Source organism: Homo sapiens, chromosome 15, assembly GCF_000001405.40.
Source record: "Homo sapiens chromosome 15, GRCh38.p14 Primary Assembly".
Classification (NCBI taxonomy): Eukaryota; Metazoa; Chordata; class Mammalia; order Primates; family Hominidae; genus Homo; species Homo sapiens.
Genome location: NC_000015.10, coordinates 75806238 through 75822883, shown reverse-complemented (window position 1 = coordinate 75822883; position 16646 = coordinate 75806238).

Sequence of the window (16646 nt, the reverse complement as noted above, 5' to 3'; positions counted from 1 at the left end):
GTGTGTGTGTGTGTGTCTCCTAAGGGAACAGAACACTGCTGAGTTCAGGCTGATTATTAGCTCGTGGACTGTCAGCAAAATACATTCACAAGAAGGCTATGTGCTGATTTGTCTTTCGCAGTGAAGTCATGTTGCTCATGTTTTATGTTTTTCAGAGTTCATTAGTTTCTATTTGTTCTCAATTAATATCCAGCTCAATAGATTGTGTAAGTGGAATACCCCCAAATTGAAATTCACCCACTTAAAATAAAGTGAAAAACATGTCACCCATTAAACTATAGTTGAAAATATGTACCCATTAGTTCTGTGTACCAAACACTGGATAATGGGTAAGGGCACAGGATCCCAGGGCTAGACTGCCTGGGTTCAAGTTCTGACTTAGCCACTTGCTGGCTGTGAAATACTTGACAGCTTTAGGCCTCAGGTTTTTTTGTTTTTTGTTTTTTTCTTTCTTTCTCTTTCTTTCTTTCTTTTTCTTTTTCTTTCTTTCTTTTTTCCTTCCTTCCTTCCCTTTTTTTTTCTTAATCCCAAAGGTGATAGTAAGCCTCAGTTTCTTGATCTGAAAAATAGAAATTATTCAATGATAGTCTATGTGAAAACTTTAAAGCACACTGCCTGGCTCAGGAAAGTCCTCAGCTTTAGCCATTATTAGCTACGATTACTATTGTGCTGGCTACATGTGCATTAATGAGGCAGGAAAATGCTCAAGGATAACAACCAAGTATCCAAATTACCTCATCAGACCAACAGAGATGCATGTGTGTGCATGCTCATGTTTCAGCTCAGAGCCCTTTGTCTAGAAGGCTCTTGAACTCAGAGGCCGAGGCAGTATCAACTTTACTTTGCAGTGGAGCCATCACTTTTGTTGATCAATTAAATTGACATACTGCTTTTTTTTTTTTTTTTCACCAACCATATGCCTAGAGCTATCTGTGTCAAGAAGAGCATGCTTCAGTTGGCTGGAGTGAGCAATTCAACTTGTGGAGGAATGAGAAATGACAGTGTTGAGACGAGAAACATAAAACCCCAGAGTAAGGTAGGAATCACTGAAAGTCAGGCAAAGGAAGTGGCGTCCAGTAATAAGTTAGGCTTTGCCAGTCTCTGGCCCTACAGATGGCTCTTTGGAGAGGAAAAAATTAAGCTAGGCCTAAGGCCACAGATCCTAAGGGACTGCCGGCAGCTCGAGGCTGTCTATGGAAGAGAAGCAGGGGGTGGCACCTGGTTGAAAGAGGGAGCTGGGGGACATGGCTTGAGCCTGTGTTTAGAGATGGAGTCCCCTGATTCCTGAGACGAGAAGGAGATCATACCCAGATCAGAGGACCTCAAATCAGAATTCTTCCCACCCACACCCCCTTCTCTTCAGGGCATCTTTGACTGCAAACAACAGATAAACTAGTTGGAAAGCTCAGCAGATTCTCACAATGGTGCCTAGCAGGCCAGGCCTAGCTGCCCTTTAACCTGTGACTGAGGGTGATGCCACTGGCCCATATGCACACATTGGAAAATCTTTACATCCATGGACATGCCATGCCCCACAGAGACAGCTGTGCAGGGTTCTTTAGGTTTGGGGTGCTGTGCCACATGTTGCCTTACAAATATGTAGGATTAAAATGGGATGTCCTGGAGCTTAGCTAACTTTTACCCCACCCCACCCCCTCTAAAATGAAGTGGCTGCTAGTTTTGTTTTCTTTATGAAAGATGGATCTGTCATTGTTTTTAGAACCTTTGGAGAAAGATTTATTGGGAGGAAGCTCTCCTGAACCCTCAGAGACTCTTCTTATTTACTGGAGCACCAGCTTTAGAGTCCTAGGTCTTCATCCTGGCTCAGCCACCCTCCAGCTGTGTGGCCTTTGAGAAGCTGCTTGACTACACTGAGTCTCATTGTCACCTATGAGTGGAGGTTGCTACATTGCTACTGTGTGGAGCACCTACCCCCAGGCACTCTTATAGGGTGATGGTGAGGATTAAATGAACTAACAAGGGTGAGGCAGGAAGATCACTTGAAGCCAGGAGTTCAAGACTAGCCTGGGCAACATAGCCAGACCTCATCTCTACAAAAATGTTTCTTAAAAAATTAGCTGGGCTTGGTGGCTTATGCCTGTAGTTCCAGCTACTCAGGAGCCTGAGGTGAGACCACTTGAGCCCAGGCAGTCAAGGCTGCAGTGAGCCATAATCATGCCACTGCACTTCAGCCTGAGCAGCAGAGAGAGACCCTAACTCAAATATTAATAAATAAATAAATGAAATAATGCATGCAATTAGTACACTAGTACATGATCAGGTGCATGGTAAATGCTTTCTACAGTTACTTTCAGTTCTAAAATATATTTTGTGACCCTGTGAGATAAACAAACCTGAGCAAAACCTTGTTAAACAACAGGTTCAAAATCTTGTCCAGAGACAGCAAATTCTTGGAACATTTGCCACTAGTCCCCAAACCTATGCCCATGGCAGACATTGCTAATCGATAGCAGCATATTTCCCCTACAAGCCTCATCTATCTCAGAATCCTTTCTAACATAGCTTTCCAAGCAGCCACTTGATCCAAGCACATGAGATGAAACCTATTTGGCATTTCTTGATCTAGTGCCCCAGTAAACTTTATAATATTTCAGGAGAGGGTATCCTTTGGACTCGGCCCAGTGACAGAAGCATTTGAAAAGACTAACCTATATGATGGCTATTTCCTACAGGTTCGGACCTGTACCTCCAGGGACCCAGGGCATCGTCTCACTGGAGCCCCTTGTTCCCATTAGTCTTGTTTTGGGCTGTACCAATTGATTGCAATTTTATACTCCAAAGCTTAAGACTTACTTTTAAAGGGAAAGATAAATTGTTTTATTAGTTAATTTCCTAGAGCAACTCTCTTTACCTCTTAGAGCCAGAGTTTTTTCATCTATAAAAGAAGGCATTGAAATAATAAAGTTTAGAGAATAAAGTAATAAAACAGAAAATATAAAAACAATAGAGAAAAATCAATGAAATCAAAAGTTGTCTCTTCAACAAGATCAACAAAGTTCTTTGACAAACCTTTAGCTATACTGACCAAGAAAAAAAGAGGGAAGATTCAAATTACTAAAACCAGAAATGAAAGGAAGGGTCATCATTACAGACTCAAGAATAAATAAAAAATGTGAGTAGACCTGTAACAAGTAAAGAGATTGAATAACTAATCAAAAAAACTCCCCTCAAAGAAAAGCCCAGGCCCAGATAGCTTCACTGCTGAATTCTACCAAATATTTAAAGAAGTAACACCAATTCTTCACAAAGTCTTCCAAAAAAAAGAGGAGAGTACAATTTCCAACTCATGCTATGAGACCTCTACTACCCTGATACCAAAACTAGACTAAACATTATAAGGAAAGAAAACTACAGACCAGTATCTCCCCTAAATATAGACACAAACATCTGCAACAAAATCCTAGCAAAACAAATCCAGCAACATATTAAAAGGATTACACAGCATTTATCCCAGAAATGTAAAGTTTGTTTAACATGCAAAAATAAGCTACTGTGATACACTATATTAATAAAATAAAAGGGTCAGGCGCGGTAGCTCACACCTGTAATCCCAGTGCTTTGGGAGGCCTAGGTGGGCAGATCACCTGAGATCAGGAGTTCGAGATCAGCCTTGCCAACATGGTGAAACCCTGTCTCTACTAAAAATACAAAAATTAGCCAGGTGTGGTGGCACACGCCTGTAATCCCAGCTACTCAGGAGCCTGAGGCAAGAGAATTGCTTGAACCTGGGAGGCAGAGGTTGCAGTGAGCCAAGATTGCACCACTGCACTCCAGCCTGGGTGACAGAGCAAGACTCTGTCTCAAAAAATAAATAAATAAATAAAAATAAAAGACAAACAACACAAGATCATCTCAACAAATGCAGGAAAAGCATTTGATTAAATGTTTTCATGATAAAAATACTCAAATCTTTTCATGATAAAAATATTCAACAAATTAGGACTAGAATGGAACTTTCTCAACGTGATTAAAAAAACACTATGAAAACCCCACAGATAACATCATGCTTAATGATGAAAGACTGAATGCCTTCCCCTAAAATCAGGAATGAGACAAGGAAAGCCACTTGCATGATAAGACTACAGGAAATCGAAAGGAATAAAAAGCACAATTTAGTCACCCACTATTGATGGGCAATAGGTTTTTGCTATTTTGAACAGAACTATTAGGAACATTCCTTGTACATGCCCCCTGTTTTATATAGGCAAGAATTTCTCTTGGATGTAGAGTAGAATTCCTGGGCTGGGAGGAGTGTGAATATTCAACCTTATGAGATGGAGCCGAACTGTTTTCCAAAGTGGTCAGATCAGTGTACATTCCCAGCAGCAGTTCTTAAAAGATCTCAGGATCTCTATCTTCTGGTGTTGTCACAAGCAGTCAAAAAGAATGAACAGCAGCTATAAACAACAATGAGGATGAATCTTAACAATATAATATTCAGCAAAAAAAAAAAAAAAAAATCCCATAAGGATGCCTACAGCATGCTTTATATAACTTGAAAAACAACTGAAAGGAAAATATGTGTATAGGCGAGGCATAGTGGCTCACACCTGTAATCCCAGCACTTTGGGAGGCCAAGGCAGGAGGATTGCTTGAGGCCAGCAGTTCAAGGCCAGCCTGGGCAACATAGCAAAACCGTGTCTCTATAAAAACTAGAAAAATTAGCCAGGTGTGGTGGTGCAGGCTTGTAGTCCCAGCTACTTGGGAGGCTGAGGTGGGAGGATCTCTTGAATCCAGGCATTTGAGGTTACAGTGAGTTGAGATTGCGCCATTGTACTCCAGCCTGGGCAACAGGAGATTCTGTCTCTTAAAATAATAATAATAAGCAAAAAGGAAAAATTTTAAGAAATGTATACATATACTTTAGGATTATATAAGGATAAAATAAAAAACTGTATGAAAAAGAACTCTAGGGGAAGAGAGACATCCGTACACACATTTAATAGCAGCATTATTCACAATCACCAAAAGTCTATTGCAACCTTTTGGCTATTGGGTTGCAAAAGCAACCCAAGTGTCCATAGATAGATGAATGGATAAATAAAATGTGGTATACACATACAATGGAATATTAAATTATATTCAATATATATTAAATAATATATTTAATAGTATTAATTTAATAATATTTAATAATTTAATACTATTTAATGATATTTAAAAAGAAGGAGATTCTGACACATGCTACAGCATGGATTGAAGACATTATGCTAAGTGAAATAAGCCAGGCACAAAAAGAGAAATACTATATGATTCCACTTGTAGGAGGTATTTAGAGTAGTCAGACTCAGAAATAGAAAGTAAAATGGCGGTTGCCAGCATCTTGGAAGGAGAGGAAAACGGAGTTATAAATGGGTGTAGAGTTTCAGTTTCATAAGATGAAAAGAGTTCTTGGAGACTAGTCACAGTAGTGTGAATATACTTAGTACTGAACTGCACACTGAAATTTCATGTCTTGTGTATTTTACCACAATTTTGAAAAGAAAAAAGTAACTCTTAAGGGAACTAGGAACACGAGATTCAGGAAATGGTTCCCTGTGGAGGGGGAAGTGATAGGGAGTCGGGAACATGGAGAAGTGCTGTGTTGCCGGCTGTAAGTTGTCAATGTCCTAACTTTAATTTTGCATAGTGTGTTCCCTTTAAAAATAGTGCTTATTACATTTTTAAAAACAAATAAACATATTAAAATACTCCTGCATTTTACCAGTGATGAGAATGTGTTATGAACCTGGGATTAGATCAATCCAATTATCTACACCTGAAGGGAAAAACATTCAACCTCAAAATCCTCTGTAGGAAATTATAAACTGTTTTAAAATTGACAGGATGTCAACATCTCCCCTAACAACTTCGTTTTGTCACTTTCATAAAGTCCTGACTTAAAGAACCCTTCTTTAAATTACTGCAGATAGAAGAGAGAAGGCTGAACCAGGAAGATCCCCATCTGGGAATTTTAGTCACACTTCTGGCACCCAGCAGAAACAAACAAAGGGAAGCTTGTTCCTTACAGAAAGTTACATTTTTTAAAAATTCAACAAAATACTAAGTTATTAAATAATCTAAGTGACAATTTGGTTGCAAGTTGGACACTCAACATTTCTAATTTTTTAATAAAATTAATTGATCATAAATGTGATAATTGACTTATTGTGACCCCAATTTGTTGTCAGCTGTTGGTTTAACAAGGTTTTGCTCAGGTCTGTTTATCTCACAGGGTCATGAAATATATTTTAGAACTGAAAGTAACTGTAGAGATCATCTTGTCTAAAGATAGCAAATTCTTGGAACATTTGCCACTAGTCCCCAAACCTGTGCCCATGGCAGACATTGCTAATCGATAGCATATTTCCCCTACAAACCTCATCTACCTCAGAATCCTTTCCTACATAGCTTTCCAAGAAGCCACTTGATCCAAGCCCATGAGATGAAACCTATTTGGCATTTCTTGATCTAGTACAACTGTCTGCTTGTACAAATGGAGAAACAGTAAGGAAGTGACTTATCCAAGGTCACACAAGAGACAAAACTCATTCGGGTCTTCTGAGCTCCAGTCCAGTGCCTCTCTCATTACTTTTGAGTCATCCCTTCCATTGACATAAACCAGACACTCCAGTCATCACAGGAATCCCAGCCTCTGCTGAATCCAGCTCCCAGTGTGCAACCTTATTCATGGACATTTTTCTTTCTGGGATTGCAGGCCTGTCTCTCCCTCTCTGTCCTTTTAGCTGCTACTGCTGCTGGTGGTGAGGGCTTCCATGGAGGAGAAAGCATCCTCCTTATCTTCTGGGAAGCTCCTCTGGCAGCTCCCCAAACAAAGCCCTTTGCAAGTGCACCACAGCACTGCCAGCTTTGGGATGGCTGTAACTCACTGTGTGCTGGTCACCGAGCTCCCCTCCATGGTTGCCTTGTTGACATGGAGCAGGTTCCACTTCATTGCCTGAAATGATTCCCCCTCCAAAACCTGCCACTCCACACCCATACACAAATGACCAGAGCATTCTTCCTCTAAGAAAACCTACAAACTCCAAATTGTTGGACAAATGAGATGGAGACCAAATTGCAAGAGCAGGTAAGCTGGTCTTGATCCATGTGAAATAGCTGTGGAAACAAAACTGATGACCATTTGGTGCCTTCTGAAATTGGCCTTAATTAAGATGCTTTTACAGAGCTGGAGAAAGGCAGGCAGCAGCTCAGGATCTTTAGTGCCACAAAATAATGGAAAGGTCTTTAACCTCTGAAAGGGGCACCAGGTACAGGCAAGGCATCATTTTCCTTGAACCATGTGGACATTTTACAACCTCTGCCAAGATGCCTCAATTCAAATTAAAATTCAAGTGGTTTTGCCAGCCCCTCCTCCAAGTGAGAGGTACATACCTCATCTTAAAGCCTAGGAAAGACATTGGAGACAACTGGTTCAGTCTTCTCATTTTGGACATGAGAAAGAGGGGCACAGATCAGACAGAGACTGGCCATAGGTCACACCTGGGGACTCAAAGCTCAAACTCAGAGCTCTGCCCTTGATTCAAGTTTCTTCCTCAGTGCCTATATCATAACCAGTGGCCCTTGCTCAGGTGCCTGGGAAAGGGACATACCAAACAGTGCAAAGAAACTTGCAACTGAAGGCAGCATCCCCAGGGAACACACCGCTGCTGGTGGCGAAACGACAGCAAGAGGCCTCGCAATCGGAGGGTGAGAGAGGACAGACCGGAGCTGGAACTGACGAGCCAGCTCTGTGTTAGCATGGTGCTGTTGCCTTGCAGGTATTTTCTCTTTTAATCATTTCAACAAATCTGGGTGACTAAACCCATTTCATGGGTGAGAACACGTAGGCTCAAAAACAGTAACTTGGCTAAGGTGGCCTCATTAGAAGTTGGCTGTGCCATTTGACCCCAGGTTACTCCCCAGGGCCTGGCCCTTCCTCTCTGACACACACTTAAGGCCACCCTCAGGCCACACAGAGTCCTGCCACTCCCACATGGATGTTGAAGAATCTCAAAGTTAGGTAGAAGTATATTTTATCTTGACACTTCCAAGGAAACTCTGTGTAAGCAATGAGTTTAGGGGTGGATGTAAGGACTTTTTTATTTTTTGTAGGGGATATTTAATCTCTTTAGGAGAATAAAATGTTCTGAAGCCACTTGGTAGTAGCTATTTTTATAGAACTATTCTATTGTAAGGTATTACTTCTAGCTCACTGCCCTACATCTTCCAGAAAAGAAAACTTTGCATTTACTGTTTAAAATGAAATAAATGCTTATTTTTATAAGGTTGATATGGTTTGCATCTGTGTCCCCAGCAGTCCATGTTGAGATGTAATCCCCAGTGCTGGTGGTGTGGCTGGTGGGAGGTGTTTGGATCATGGGGCTGGATCCCTCATCAGTGGCTTAGTGCCATCCCCTTGGTGATGAGTGAATGAGTTCTCTGAAACCTGGTTGTTTAAAAGTGTGTGGCACATCCCCTCTGTCTTGCTCCCACTCACTCCCTGTGACATGCCTGCTCCCCCTTTGCCTTCTGCCATGATTGTAAGCTCCCTGAGGCTTCTTCAGAAGCAGAAGCCAGTGCCATGCTTCTAGTACAGCCTGCAGAACCGGGAGCCAATTAAACCTCTTTTCTTTGTAAATTACCCAGCCTCAGGTATTTCTTTATAGCAATGCAAGAATGATCTAATGCAAAGGTGTACTGTTTTGTTTTGTTTTCAAGCTAAGGTACATTGTTTATGCCTTATTACAAATATGAGGGATATCAGAAACTGGGGGAGGCCCTAAGCCCAGCAAGGGGAGGAATCCTCTATGGCTTCAAGCCTGGGATCTCCTGCATATGGGGTTTCACAATGGGAATGGTGCTTGATGCATTCAACTAATACCTTATTTGCAGACATCTGTATAGTTTTCAGCTTTTAAAATATAATCAGCTACATTGTATTTCCAGTTAAGTCATAGCTGATATGCAACTTTATTTCCTTGTAGTAAAATACTAGAAGCTACCGGTCAGATTTAAGATGTTCAATATATATTGACAAATTGCCATCTAGAAAAATTGCTCCAATTTACCTTTGGACAGCAATTATGAAAGGCTCATTTTTCCAGACCCTCACTCATATGGTTTGGATCTCTGTTCCCACTAAATCTCATGCTGAATTCTAATCCCTAATTTTGGAGATGGGGCCTGCTGGGAAGTAATTGCGTGACACGGGCAGATTTCCCATAAATGGTTTAGCACATCCCTTGGTACTGTTCTCATGATAGTAAGTGAGTTCTCATGAGATCCAGTCATTTAAAAGTGTGGCACCTGCCCCCTCACTCTCTCTTGCTCCTGCTCCCACCATGTGAGAGGCCTCGCTCCCCCTTCGCCTTCCACCATGATTGTACGTTTCCTGAGGCCTTCCCAGAAGCTGAGCAGATGCCAGCATCATGCTTCCTGTACAGCCTATGGAACCGTGAACCAGTTAAACCTATTTTCTTTAGAAATTCCCCACTCTCAGATATTTCTTTATAGCAATATGAGAATGGACTAATACATTCACTAATGCTGGGTTTGCTTTTTCTTTTTTATTATTACTAGTGAAATTGAATATTATTTTATATGTTCATTGGACATTTGTATTTCTTCTTTTCTGAATTGCTGGTATATTTCCTTGATTCATTTTTTCTATTACTGTGTTTGTCTTTTTCCTGTTTGTTGATGAGTACTTTTATGTAGTTGGAATACTCACACTGACATACTTCATTATGTAAAAATGAAAACTTCTGTATGTTACAAAACACCAGAAAAACAAATGAAAAGACAGAAGAAATTATTGAGAAAAACAAATTTGCAATGAATAGAACAATTTTGCAAGAATAGAACAAATTTGCAATGAATAGAACAATTTTTCTTTATACCTTCTGTACAGTACTGAGCATCATGCTTAGAAAGTCCTTCATAATCCCCAAGATCATGTAAATATTCTTTTTTTATGTTTTCTCCTAGTTAGTATGTTTACAGTTTTATTTGTTAACATCTTTACAACAACTGGAATTCATTTCTGGCATGAGGTTTAAAGTAGTAATGATTCTAACTTAATTTTTTTCCAGGTAGTTAATTAATTGCTCTAACAAAACTTATTGAATAATTCTTCTTTGCTCAAGAGGTCTTAATGCCACCTTTATCACACGCTAAAACAATATATTCTTATAAAAATTCAGGTTTGTGGCCAGGCGTGCTGGCTCATGTCTGTAATCCTAGCACTTTGGGAGGCCGAGGTGGGTGGATCATGAGGTCAGGAGTTCAAGACCAGCCTGGCCAAGATGGTGAAACCTCATCTCTACTAAAAATATAAAAATTAGCTGGGCGTAGTGGCAGGCACCTGTAATCCCAGCTACTCAGGAGGCTGAGACAGGAGAATTGCTTGAACCCAGGCAGCAGAGGTTGCAGTGAGCCAAGATCACACCACTGCACTCCAGCCTGAGTAATAGAGTGAGACTCCATCTCCAAAAAAAAGAAAAGAAAAACCTTCAGGTTTGTTTCTGGACTTCCTATTCTGTTCCATGATTTCTGATCTCTTCTGAATTCTAAAGCTGTTCTATTCCAACAAGGGTCCCCAAATTCTCAGAAATAGAGTTTGCATTGCTTTGGCGATCTCTGTTCAAATTCTTATCTCTTATGTTAGACTGTGAGTTCCCTGAGGGAAGGGTCCTGTCTCACTCCTCTGTGTACCCCAAGAGCCTAGTGTGGTATAATGAAGGAAGGGCACAACAGCACCACGGTGAAGTGAGGAAGCCCCAAGCTTAGGGGCACCAGATTGAGCAAAGAAAACTATAGGATATGCAGTTAACCTACAATATCAGATAAACAGCAAATAGTTTTTTTGTATGAGTATATCCCATGCAATGTTTGGGATATACTTATCCTAAAAGTTATCCAGACATCTCCACTGAAACACTCATCCTCCTCAGACCTCACACCCCTGCTTACCATGAGATCCAAGCTGGAAAACCAGGAATGCATTTTTTACATGCCAAATGCCACAGCTCAAGTTAGAAGCACCCAACTGACTGGGTGTGAGAGTGGGGAATATGGCCTCCTATGCCTGCAGAGGCAGCGTCCCATGCCAAGAAGGGACTGACTCACTGCTGTTCCTCCATAAGGCTCGCTGCCACAACCACTTGCACCATGCGCCATGTCCCTGTCCCATATCCCCATTCCCCAGAGGCCTTGAGCCAAGTGGAGCAGGGCAGACACTGTATGATCCCACAGCTGACTGTTCATAGTCTCTAACCTTTCCTTCTCTTATAAAAGGAAAACAGGGCACTCCTCTGATGCCACCCAGCATGTGATACCCGCCTGGACACATCCAGGAAACACTCAAGCCATGCTGGGGAGGCAGTCATCCTGTTTCTCATGTTTATCCACACACTTCCACAGGGGCTGCAAGTCTACACAACCTAGACACTTGGTCCAAATGGCCCCTAGTTTGTGCCAGGCACAGTGCTAAGCATTTGGGTTACAACGATGAACAAAAACTGGCCTGGTCCTTGATGTTATGGAGCTTACAGTCTAGTAGGGGAGATGGCCATAAATCACGTGATCAAAATTTATTTAATTGAAAAAGTATAAAGAGATATAAGAGCATATAGTGAGGGACCTAATCTGATGGGGTGGGTAGTCAACACCCCAAATAAGGGATATTTGAGAAGGCATTCACTGTCAAAGAGAAGTGTTTCTGGCAGAGAGAACAGCATGTGCAAAGGTCCTGAGGTAGGAGGGAGGGAACCCTCAGGGATCTGAGGTGATAGAGGGAGTAAGAGAGAAAGAATGAAGCAAAAGGTGGCTGCAGAGGCAGGCAGGGGCCAGATCCTGCAGGCCAAGGGTGAGTCAAAGCCATTGCAGAATTTAGCAAGAGAGTGACTTAATAATATTGGGCTTTTAAAGATGAATATGGCTGCAATACCAGAATGGCTGGTTGGAAGAGGCCAAAGTGGAAGCTACTGGGGATGTCTGTGTAAGAGCTGACAGTGACCTTGTGGTGGAAATGGGGCACAAGAGAGGGAGACTGTGCTGGGCTTCATCATGGTTGAATGCAGGAGAGAAAGGAAGTATCAGGGAGATGCTGGCACAACCAGGGAAGACTTTCATCACCCACTGGGTACGGGGGAGGGTGGTTAACCTGTGGGGAGAAGCAGGGCACTTATCCAGGGTGGAAAAGAGAGAGAGTGAGGAGAAGGAGCAGGAGTAAGAGAGCTAAAGCTGAGAACTCAAAGGACCAAGGAGAAGCTACAGGGCCAGCTCACAGAAATGGCGCGGAAGGAACTCACTTGTTGCCCCAGCTTTCTCTCATTTCAGTCTCAAAGAGATCTTGCCGGTTAGGCGGACACTTTCTCCACTTCGCAGGGTAACCAACTATGGATCAGATCTTCTTCTGACATCACAGAGCTGGGACTTGAATGCAAGTCTGTGTAACTACAAAGCCCACACTCTGCTCTCTGCCAGGAGCCCCACTCCTGCCCCGATCCCTGGGCCGATGAGTTATATCGAGGCCTATAGCCAAAATGAAGGCTCAAAGATTCCCCAGCAGGGGAAGAAAGTGGCTGGGTGGGAGGGCTAATTCTCAATTCCTGTAGTTCATTCAGATCCTGGAGCCTGGGGGAATATGGGAAAACCAAGGCAGACACAACGTGGAGAAAGCAAAGGTCAGTATTTCTCTACCCTGGCTGCACAGTGCCATCATCAGGTGAGCTGTGAAAATTCCTGGTGCCCAGGCCATCCCCCACCAATTAGCTCAGAATCTCTAGGGTGGGGCTTGGGCATCAGAATGTTTTCAAGCTCTCCAGGTGATGCCAAGCTCTCCAGGTGCAGCCAGGTTGAGAACCATGGGCATATCAGCCCCTCTCCTGAGACCTACTCTATCTCAGTCTAGACTTATCTTGGAAGGGCCTCCCATAACTGTATTTGGGGCCACACTGCCCAGGATCCCAGCCTAATCTGAGTTTAGGTCCTAATTAAGATCTTTAGAGACCCAAGACACTGCAAAATTATTGTGCAGAGCTCCTCTCTTTCTTTTCTTTCTTTCTTTCTTTCATTCATTCGTTCTTTCTTTCTTCTTTCATTTTCTTTCTTTCTTTGCCTTTCTTTCTTCCTTTTCCTTTTTTTTTTTTTTTTTTTTTTTGAGACAGTTTCTCTCTGTCATCAGGCTGGAGTGCAAAGATGCGATCACAGCTCACTGCAGCGTCAACTTACCAGACTCAGATGAATCTCCCACCTCAGTCTCCTGCACAGCTGGGACCATAGGCACATACCACCACATCTGGCTAATTTTTGTATTTTTTGTAGAGATGGGGTTTCACCAAGTTGCCCAGGATGATCTTAAACTCTTGGGCTCAAGCAATCCTCTGCCTCAGCCTCCCAAAGTGCTGGGATTACAGGCATAAGCCACCACACTCAGCTCCCCTTTTTCTTAAGTAATTCTAAATAAAAACAAGACTAAATTATAAAATAAAATTTGACATGGGCATTTTTGGAGAAATGACACAAAACTTCCATGATAGCTGAAATTAAAATATTTATTTTTGGATTTTCTATTTGTGTGTGCACACAGGTACACACTTGTCCTTGGTTGGTGCCCTATGTGTGTACTTGCTCTATGTAGTAGGTTAATCTGCACAGAGTCTGAAGGCACAATTTTCAGTAAACGAAAGCTCTACATAGCACAATTTCCAAGCAGTTGAGACTGAAGCAGCAGTCTCCTTCTGGGTTTAATTTGAATTAACTCATTATGTCAGAGGTTGCAAATGTTTTTCTGTGAAAAATCAGACCTTGGCGATGACACTGAGCAGTAGGATATAAATAACTCCACAAGCTTAGCGTTCCAGTAATGGAACGCTAAGCATAAATGTGTAAACTGCCAGGATGTACTTGTGCAGGAAACTGACAATTTTCAGCAAGAAATCTTCAGATGAGGCTTGTCACTCTCCAGTGTAACTCTAGGGCCTGCTTGGCAGGGGGACCAGCTTTGGCTGGAGGCTGGGTCAAAACGGCGGCCCTGGGATGGCACCTTCCCATCCCATGGAGGGAGCTCTGTTGGGAACATGAGACAGACCAAGAAGACTCATCCATTAGGAAAGCGGCCCTTGGCCTGTCCGGTTTTAATGGAGGAGGGTGCTTGGTGCAATGACCACTTCTGATGGGGAAACTAGTTGAAGACATGGGCATTGTCTTTCCCATGTGTGCCCCACTGGGAGCCTAAACTTGATGGGTGAAAAGTTCCAAGAGATGAATCAAGAGCACTATATATATCTCGGCCGTCCAGGCTGGGCTCCTCCCACCACCCCTCAGTCCTGCCCTCTGGAACCCTTAGCAGGCTGGCAGAAGCCCTTTTTGGGGTCCAGACTTATGACCAGGATGCCTATGGCTTCCTAACCCCCAGGTAGGGCAGCCTAGTGTAAAGATCCTGAAAGCAGGAGAACAGCAATTGATCAAGTGAACCCAAGATAGGACTAAAACTGTCTCTGATGGCAAAACCTTTGATGACGAAGAGTCTGGCCCATAGAAAGATGGCCCTGAGCATGGCACCTCTGACCAAATCCCTCACTCTGACCTACTGAGCGTATGAGCCCAGCCTTGCTCACAGTCGGGGCTGGAGGGAGACCTCATGGAGGCCACTCGATACCTGCACTTCCTGTGTGCCTGTCACTGCTGATTCCACCCACACCGTCCTCTGCCCCAGCCAGCTCAGCCCTGCCATACCCTGCCATTACAGTCCGGGCTCTTTGGATGTGAGTGACAGAAAATTCACTGGCTTAGGCAAGAAGGGAAGCTCATTGGTCAGTAAGTTAGCCATGGGCAGGACAGGGAACAGCTGGGCCTCAGGAATACCTGGACTCAGAATCACCAGCGCTGTTAGGATTTGCAGGCTCCTTCCCTTGTCTCTGTCTCCACCTCAGTCTGCAGATCAGTTTTGTGCTCTCAGAGCAACTCTCCCCACGAGGTTAGAGTCAGGCTGTTGGCAGCATGAGGCTTCTGTCTTACTGGCTTTGCCCCCGAGGAAAGGATGGGGCTCCCCTCTATTAGTTCCTATTCAGAAAATTCCAGAAGAAAGTTTCTGCTTGGTCTGGTCTGGGTTGGCTGAGTAGCTGGGACTCTAAAACTGCCGACCCCTCTAGTGTCATGTGGTTGAAGTAGGGCAGGGAGATGTATTAGTCAATTCAGTGTACCATGCCAAAATACCACAGACTGGGTGGCTTAAACCACAGACATTTATTTCTCACAGTTCTGGAGGCTGGGAAATCCAAGATCAAAGTGCCAGCAAGGTAGGTTTCATTCTGAGGCCTCTTCTCTTGGCCCATAGGTGGCTGCCATATTGTGTGCTCATGTGACCTCTTCTTTGTATTTGTGCAGAGAGACAGTGAGTGCACTCTCTGGTGTCTCGTCTTATAAGGACACTAATCCTACTGAATCAGGGCCCCACCCTTAGGACCTCATTTAACCTTAATGATTTCCTGAGAGGCCTCATCTCCAAATGCAGCCATACAGAGGGTTAGGGCTTCAACATATGAATTTGGAGGAGACAGAGACACTCAGTCCATGAAGAGAAGAAAAACTATTCACGAAGAAAGGGGTGCAGTGGCCAAAAAAGGGGGCAGACAAAACTACAGATGCTCTCCCCATTTCCTCCAATACACAACACACACACACACACACACACACACACACACACACAGCCCTGCCTTTGCCCCTTCCCCACAAGGCCACTCCCCACCCCATGATTATTTACTTCCCTCCTATCCTGCACTCTGGAGCTGCCCCTTCCCCTAAGTTGTCCTGTGGCTCACTGATCGCTGCATACAGGTAGGTGCATGTCAATGTAGCTGGGGCTGGGGGCCTCCTGGACCATGTGTGTCCTGAGCCCCACCATGGGACTGGGCAGGAAGTGGGTCTCACCCATGTCTCCTGTCCTCAGGCAGAGCCTAGCCCTGGGACATGAGCTCAGTGGGTGCTGCAGCTTTGTTGGATTCACCTCAGGCCCCCTTTCCCCACATCCACTTATAAGGTTCCCAGGGCCTTGATACCTCCGTCCTTGGAAGAAAAGAATGTGATTAACCAGCTCACACGAACCTGCTGGTGGCTTCCCACAATAGAAGGAAATAATTTTCTAGTTCAAAAGAGTCTACCAGGTGACTAGCACAGTGAATGAAGAAAGACCTACAGCAAGGCACAGCATTGGGAAATTCCAGAAAACTAAGGATAGAGAGAAAACCCTAAAATCTTCCAGAGAGAAAAGACAGGTCACATGTAAAGAGCCAAGACTCCGCATGACACGGACTTATTCCCAACAACACTGGGAACTAGAAAATAATAGAGCAATATTTCCCAATGTGAGGAGAAGTTACATTTAAATTAGAGCATTACATCCAGCCAAACTAGTAATCAGGAGTTGGGGTAGAACAATGACATTCTAAAATGTGTGAGGGTCAGAAAGCTTGGCTTCCATTCACTCTTTCTCAGGAAGCCACTGGAAAATGTGCTGCAACACAGTGAGAGAGTAAACCAGGAAAAAAGAAGATCTGGGGCCAAGGAACAGGAGATGCAACAGAAGAGGCAGGAGGAAATTCACACGATGGTGCAGAGACATGCCAGGATGCCAGATGTGC